Below are 7,601 nucleotides of genomic sequence, written 5' to 3' on the forward strand. Positions count from 1 at the left end.
CCCACCCCTAACCTCACTCTTAGCTTCTCTCCAATTCCGTTTGAGTCATGAATCAACTCAAATGGAGCTGGCTTTTGAATCCTTTTGGTCAAGACTTCTTGTCCAATGCTTCTAAAATGTTGACAAAGTTCTGGAAATCACAGCTGTGAAGCCAACTCGTGTACTATGTTTCAGTGAAAAGTTCTGAAGAAGCTGTGAGCAACAGTTCCATGAAAATCTCCATCCCCTCTGTACCTACACTAAGGTTATGGGTTATGCCTGAGTGATCTCAGCATCATTTTGATCCAGTTTGCATCTAGGGACTGAATGCCAATTTCTTTCAAAATCCTGGGCTGACTGCATAAACCCAAGAAAAGTTGGCTTTTATTCCCAGTTGCCTTGATTTTTGGCTTTGCTTTTGTTATGTGCTATGCTTAAAATTTTTTTTAGGATTCCATAGGTTTAACTTTGGCTCATGTGAGTAAGTAGCCTGTTTATGCACTGTGGCCCTGAGGAACCAGAAATCCATTAGTGCAACTATGAAAACCTTCTGAAGAACAGGATATTCATCCTTCTGAGGTAAGGTTCAAGATTGGATAACTACTGTATCCCTCAACCCAAAAGTGACTATGGCAGAAGCTGGTGCATACTTAGCTGAAAGGATGGAGTTGAAGAGGAATTATGGTATCAGCCAGGATGGGGCAGTGGTGAAGGCGGTGCTTTGGGGTGTTAAAAAATTTAATTGGGGCTGGGCACGGTGGCTAACGCCGGTAATCCCAGAAATTTGGGAGGCCAAGGTGGGCAGATCACATGAGGCCAGGAGTTTGAGACCAGCCTGGCCAACATGGCAAAACCCCATCTCTACTAAAAATACAAAAATTAGCAGGAATGGTATTGCACATCTGTAATTCCAGCTACTTGGGAGGCTGAGGCATGAGAATCGCTTGAACCTGGGATGTGGAGGTTGCAGTAAGCCAAGATTGTGCCACTGCACTCCAGCCTGGGCAACGGAGCAAGACTCTGTCTCAAAAAAAAAATTAATTGGGATACCATTAGGCTAGGATGGCACCAGTGCCTTGGGTTCATATGTAAGCAGACTGAAGTCCAGTCAAACAATAAAATAAGACACAAGCTTTATCAGTCAGAAACCATTAGCTAAACTCAACTGGGGGCTTTCCATCAGATAATAAGACAAACACCTGGCTTTAGCTAATCAACTGATCAAGGATTTTGCTTTTGCATTCAGCCTGTAAAAGCCTCTGCTCACACTGCGAGGGTAGAGCTTGCAGAACCTCTTCCAGTTCTGAGTGCTGCCTGATTCATAAGTTGTTCTTTGCTCAGGGAAACTGCTGAATTTAATTTATCTGAAGTTTTTCTTTTAGCAGGGAGGAGAAACACTGCTTCTTCCAGCAAGTTGTATGAGGAAAGGACTACTAACAAAATTCTCAAGTATTATTAAAAAGGAGTATTAAAATATAAAGTACATGTGTTTAATTGGTAAGCAGATAGACAAGAATGTATTAGAAGAGAGAAGGGTATAGCTTTATAGAGATTGCTCAACAATAGTATTGAAGCAGGTAAAAGAATTCTCCCTGGGGAATGGAGGAGAAGGGGAGGCTGGAGAGAGAGGGATGTGGCACGTCTTTCAGACGTGACTCTGGGGTCAGCCATAAACTGGTTCCATCATCATCACCAGGGAGCTTAAGAATTTAGCTCAAAGAGTCTGATTTTCTGGGTTGGGTTAGAATCCAGGAAACTGTTTTAAAATGAGTCCCCTCCCCAAATTCCCAGGTGAGGCTGATTAACATCCGGATTTATGAAGTCATTGGCTGGGGGTCTGTGTCCTACAGCCTCTGGGCCCAATCCAGCCTGGAGCCTGTTTTTTATTTTATTTTTTAACTTTATAAACTTTTTTTTTGTCTTTATGTGCAGTCTTTATTTCAACTATTTATTTTTTCTTTTTTTTGAGATGGAGTCTCACTCTGTCGCCAGGCTGGAGTGCAGTGGCGTGATATCGGCTCAGTGCAACCTCCGCCTCCCAGGCTCAAGCGATTCTCCTGCCTCAGCCTCCCGAGTAGCTGGGACTACAGGTGCCCGCCACCACACCCAGCTAATTTTTGTATTTTTAGTAGAGATGGGGTTTCACCATGTTGGCCATGATGGTCTCAAACTCTTGACCTCATGATCCACCTGCCTTGGCCTCCCAAAGTGCTGGATTACAGGTGTGAACCACTGCACCCGGCCTCAAATATTTCTTAAAACACTGTAGTTATTTCTTAGGACAAGAGCAAAGATCACCCCCTGCAGAAACTCAGTAACTATATACAGAGCTTTGCAGAACAGAGACAGTCACTAAAGGCTGGCTGCTGGCCAGGGAATGGCATTCTGACTGGACTCAAGGAACAAAAAGAAACCAGGTTGGAAAGGGGCAAGCGCTCAGCTGAATTAAACTTCAGCTTCCATCAGGGCATATCTTGTGATGCTCACAGGCTCTGTTTCTAGAAGGTTTGGGTTCAGCACAAGATTCCATTTGTCTGCTTGGCTACACCCCCAGCTGAAGTGCCAAGAGGTCACTGTCACTCATGTTCCTGGCCAGCCAAACTCCTGAAGCAAAGAGTCCCGAATTGAGGATTAAGTATCTCTGGAAATCATTCCTATCAGTGGCAAAGCCATAGCTGCCATGAAGCCAATTTCCCACATTGCCCAGATTTTGGGTGATACATTTGCTGAGCTGGCAGTGCTCACAGTGACCACTGGAAGCCATAGTAGTGCTTTTGGGCTCTGCCAACTTTAAAAAGTGGATACATAATATTTACACAAATTTGTGGGGTACATGTAATATTTTGATACATACATTGAATGTGTAATGATCAAATCAGGGTATTTAAGGTATCTGTCACCTCGAACGTTTATCATTTCCTTGTTTGGGGAACACTTCATATCCTCTCTTCTAGCTATTTTGAAATACACAATATGTTGTTGCTAACTGCACTCACCCTATTGCGCTATTGAAAACTAGAACTTGTTCCTTCTTTATATTTGAGACAGGGTCTCACTCAGTCACCCAGTCTGGAGTGCAGTGGTGCAATCATAGCTCACTGCAACCTCAAACTAAATCCCTGGGTTCAAGGATTCTCCCACCTTAGCCTCCCGAGTAGCTAGGACTGCAGACCTGTGCGGCTAGTTTTTTTCTTTTTTTTAAATTTTCTGTAGAGATAAGATCTTGCTATGTTGTCCAGGCTGGTCTCGAACTCCTGGACTCAAATGATCTTCCCACTTTGGTCTCCCAAAGTGCTGGAGTTAGAGGTGTGAGCCACCGCGCCTGGACAGAACTTATTTCTTCTCTCTAACTGTATGTTTGTGTCCATTAACAGTCCTGTCTTTATCCCCCTATAAGTAGCTTACAGCTAAGAATGTTTTTTACATTTTTTTCTCCTTTTTTTTTTTGATGGGATTGCACAGTTTATTTCCAAACACTCAGAGGATAGGGAGTGGCCTGTGGGCTCCTTCTGCCTCCCCTCCCTGCATTTGGCTGAATCAAGAACTTCTCCCCCTTCACCCCCAACACCCTAGGCTGTGCCCGATAGAGAAGGTACTCTCACCCCCACACTGAGGAGAGACCCAGAAAGGTGAGGAGCATGGAGGGTCGGGGGACAGAGTTCAGGTATTCACAGTTCCCTATCTCCACCCCTGGATTACACTGTGCCAGAGCCATGAGGGAGGATCCCACCTCTGGGATTCCTGTGGTGTTGATAGTCCTTCTCCCACTTAGAACCTTCCAGATGAACTCCCTACTCCTTATCCCTGAAATAACAAACCAAGCCCTAAACCAAGCCCTGTAGTCTGGGCGGGGAGGGGCCTTAGCGCATCACTCACCCAAGGCCCCCAGGGATGGGGGTGAGGGCCTTCACCTGTAGTGAATGGGTTGGGAGCAAGTATCTATAAGGAGAGAGGAAGGGAGAGAGCTGAGAGGACCTTGGGAGGCAGGCTTGGAGGCTTCTGACACATAAGTTCAGACAGCTCTGGCCTGTTACTCCACGCCGCCCCACACCCCAAGCCCAGAATCCCTGAGAGTCCAACTGCAAAGGCAGTATGGCCGGAGGGAGGAATGGGGGCACGGGGAGAGCTGGGTAGGACCTTGGTCCCCCTCTCCCAGTCAGTCCTGCTCCTGGGACACATGATGCTTAGGGACGGCCAGGACCAGGATCAAGTCCTAGCTCTTAGGCTCTGATCTTCCAGAATAGCTGAATCCTGGGGCACGTAGTGTAGACCCACCAACCCCCACACCCCAGACATCCCGGCCTTGGGTAGAATGGTGGGAATGGGCTCTCCCAAGGGTATTATAAAAAGCTAAAACCGTTAAACACTTACTGGGGAGGAGTGGCTCCCAGTCTCTTGCTTCCCCAAGTTATCAGCCTCTGCAGCGCCTAGCAGACAAGACTAAGGAGGTCCCAGAGAGCCAAGGGAGGAGGGCACAGCCCCTGGGCCCAGAGAGAGGGCCCACTAGCACCGTGCAATGTTGAGGTGCCTCCGCAGCCTGACTGGCCCCCACGCAGGGGCCCTCCGCAGCGGGGGTGCACACTTGCTAGAGCTTCTGTACTTTTGAAGGGTGACCCCTGCAAGGGAGTGGGGAAGGCAAAGACTTGGCTTAAGTCCAGGCAGGGGTCACAGCTGGGACCCCAAAGGACACCCCTGGGAGTCATGATTTGAAGAATCTTCTTACCACAAACTGGCCCAGCAGAACCACACCCACAACCACCAGCACGTTCAGGATGGGACTATTGCCCAAGTCCAGGGCTGCCACCCAGCCGCCCCTCTGCGAGATCCACCGGGCGATGCCTTGTTGCAGCATGAAGACCACGAAGCGGGTCACCAGGCCCAGGAAGCCAGTCAAGCCGTGCTGGTAGACATGTAGGACCAGACGGTAGCCGAAGCCCAGGAGAGCCACCACACGGCCCCGGTTGATGCCACTCTCAAACAGGCTGGAGGCGATCTTGGTGAAGTACTCGTAGGCGTTCTCTGCCGTGGGCTGCAGGTGCTGCAGCATGGTCTGGAACTCCGAAGTCATAGTGCCGGTTGATGTCGTCCTGGTGATGGCGAGCTGCCGTCCCACCTGCCCCATGGTGCTGCTAGGTTGGAGGGGCAAGGTGACCATCTCTGGGTCGGCAGGGGCGGCCGCCCCTTCAGCCTCCTGTTCCTGCTGATGGTGGTAAAAAACGTAGCTGCGGAAAACCCCTCCATGTCCTGGGCTACCTGCTCCTCAGAAGCAGAGGGCAGGGCAGGCTTTCCGCACTCCTGCCTGGGAGGCCCTGGGCCTTGCCCCGATGCCATTTTTCAGGTCTCAGTGGAGGACAGTGTCAGCCTCCAGGGATGCTGGCTCAACCCGCGTGGGTCAGCAGGGTGGAGTTGAAGGTCCCAAGGGGCTGGAGGCTGCTGCTCCCAGGGGCTGAGTGGGAGCCCAGCTTCCAGGAACGGGCGTCAGTGCATTTCTGGTATCTGGATGTAGCCTTTGCTTGTCCCTGTGTGGCCCGAGGGACCCGTGAGACTCCAGTGATCATCTGTTTTTTTACATTTTTAAAGCATTGTAAACAAAATAATACAAACAGGGAGCAAAAAAGAATACATGACAAAACTGTAAGTGGCCTGCAGAGCCTAACATATTTATCATGCTACTTGGCCCTTTACAGAAAATGTTTGACTATCCCTGGCTTAGATAGGGAAAATTAAATGCATAAATGAATAAATAGATTTTTCAACTGATGAAGAGGTAACGAAGTCTGCAAATTTTCTACCATGGGTCACTCTCCACACAGGCGAGGGAACCTTTGCTCTGAGTGTGGTTCTTATTGGAATGGGACGCACTGTCACTCTTTAAACAATGTATTGTGCCTCAGGTGCTGCAAGGTACTGCTATGCTCACATGGACAAATTAAGGCTCTGGCTAAGGTAAAAATCAAATGGGCTGCCCACTAAAAGGGGTAGTTCAAATTATTTCAACTTCACTTTTGTTCAGCTAGGGAGGGAGAAAGTAGACTAGGCCTTGGAAGGTCAGGGGAAAAAAAAATACCAGTTACACAAACATAAGGCTCTTAAGCAGGCACTTGTTGTCCTGAGATGAAGGTATAAGCAAACTTTTTGAAATATGGCTTAGCAAATGCTGTCTTACTTTTCAGTGTGCAGACCTGGACAACAGGCAGGTGGGGAGGGATCTGTTTGTGAAAGGATCTGATCCCAGAACTCTCTTGAAAAGGAAGGGCGCGGCTGCCACTAGACTAGTTGCTCAGACTCAAGATAGTGGCTGAGATTGTAGGCAAGGGCTGGTGTTTGTGTCATGCGTGCTGCACCTAGCTGTCCTGCTAAGGGATTATGATTTGAGAAGCAATGGTTCGGGGTGGACTGTGACAGAAGATCTGTGACATTGGTGCCCATGTGGTATCCCCCAGCTAATGCCCACTCAGAAATCCATTCTAGCTGCAGGGGCAGATGCTGACTGCAGGGTGTGTCATCAGAGCAGCATCCGTGAAGCTGGTGAGCCATTTGGTCAAGGGCAGGGTGAATTTGGGTTGAGTAAACCCTAGAGTTCCTGGAAAACACATGGACACAATCACCTTAAGAAAGAGACACTAGGCTTTTTCTGCTAGAATGTCATGGGCTTGAACAATTTACTAAAAAACCCAAGGCAATATTTTAACCTGGAGTTTGCATAGCTTGGCTGCACATACTCATTCATTCATTCCTGTACAGATACACAGATGGGGGTTTAGAGAAGTGAAGAAGCTTGGCCAAGTCACACACTGGGTGGAGTGCAGGAATCTAAACCCAGTCTTGTGTGTTTCCAAAGCCTGCTCTCTGTCCACAGTACCCTATTGCCTCTTGTAGAGTCGTAGATTATTAGCGAAGTCTTACAAATTATTCACCATTTTTGAGTGAGAAACTGAGACTCAGAGAAGTGAAACAACTTGTTCAAGGTTGTTTAACTAATTACCAGAATTCCTACAGACCTGCCTCCAGATTCAGCGGGTCTGAGTTGCCATAAGCTTCTAAGAACTTCTTATCAAAGGAACTGAGAATGTCAAATGGAGTGAGTTGAAATCCATAGGGACAAAGAAGCATTGAAGGAAAAGTGAGATTTGCAAAGTGAGCCACATTTTGCTTTTTCCTAACGACCTGTTTGTTGATGTCCTCTTTGAAAGGGCTTCTAGGAGGCAGGAAGGTATGAGCTACTTTTGGCAGTTTGGCCCCAGAGATTACCTGTTTATTTATTTAGCACTTTAGACATTAAGTTGGCTAATATAAAGCAATTCCCCTAAAGTCTGGAGTTCATGGACATAGACCAAGTATAGGGAAAGTAGTCTTCTCCATTCACCTCATGACCCCAAAAGATCATGAGTCTAGGTTGATCCCCAGCCAGTGGCTACATCTGTAACTTGACTACCCTGATTTCTCAATCAGCTCAGCTACAAATGGCAGTGGAAAAGATGCCCAAGAAGGGTCTTGAAATAAATGGAAATCTTTCATTTCCTGTTCTGGTCTCTATCCAAGAAGCTGCCACTGCCCAAGGGAGGCGCCCAAAGCCCAGTGTTCTCTGCAAGTCAGAGTCAGTTTTCAAAGCACTGAAGGTA

The 7,601-nt window shown here is 47.8% G+C and overlaps 1 pseudogene; it reads right to left on the reverse strand.

Annotated features, from left to right (window-relative positions):
- Positions 3,426-5,537, reverse strand: BAK1P2 (BCL2 antagonist/killer 1 pseudogene 2; annotated as a pseudogene).

Source organism: Homo sapiens, chromosome 11 (assembly GCF_000001405.40).
Source record: "Homo sapiens chromosome 11, GRCh38.p14 Primary Assembly".
NCBI lineage: Eukaryota > Metazoa > Chordata > Mammalia > Primates > Hominidae > Homo > Homo sapiens.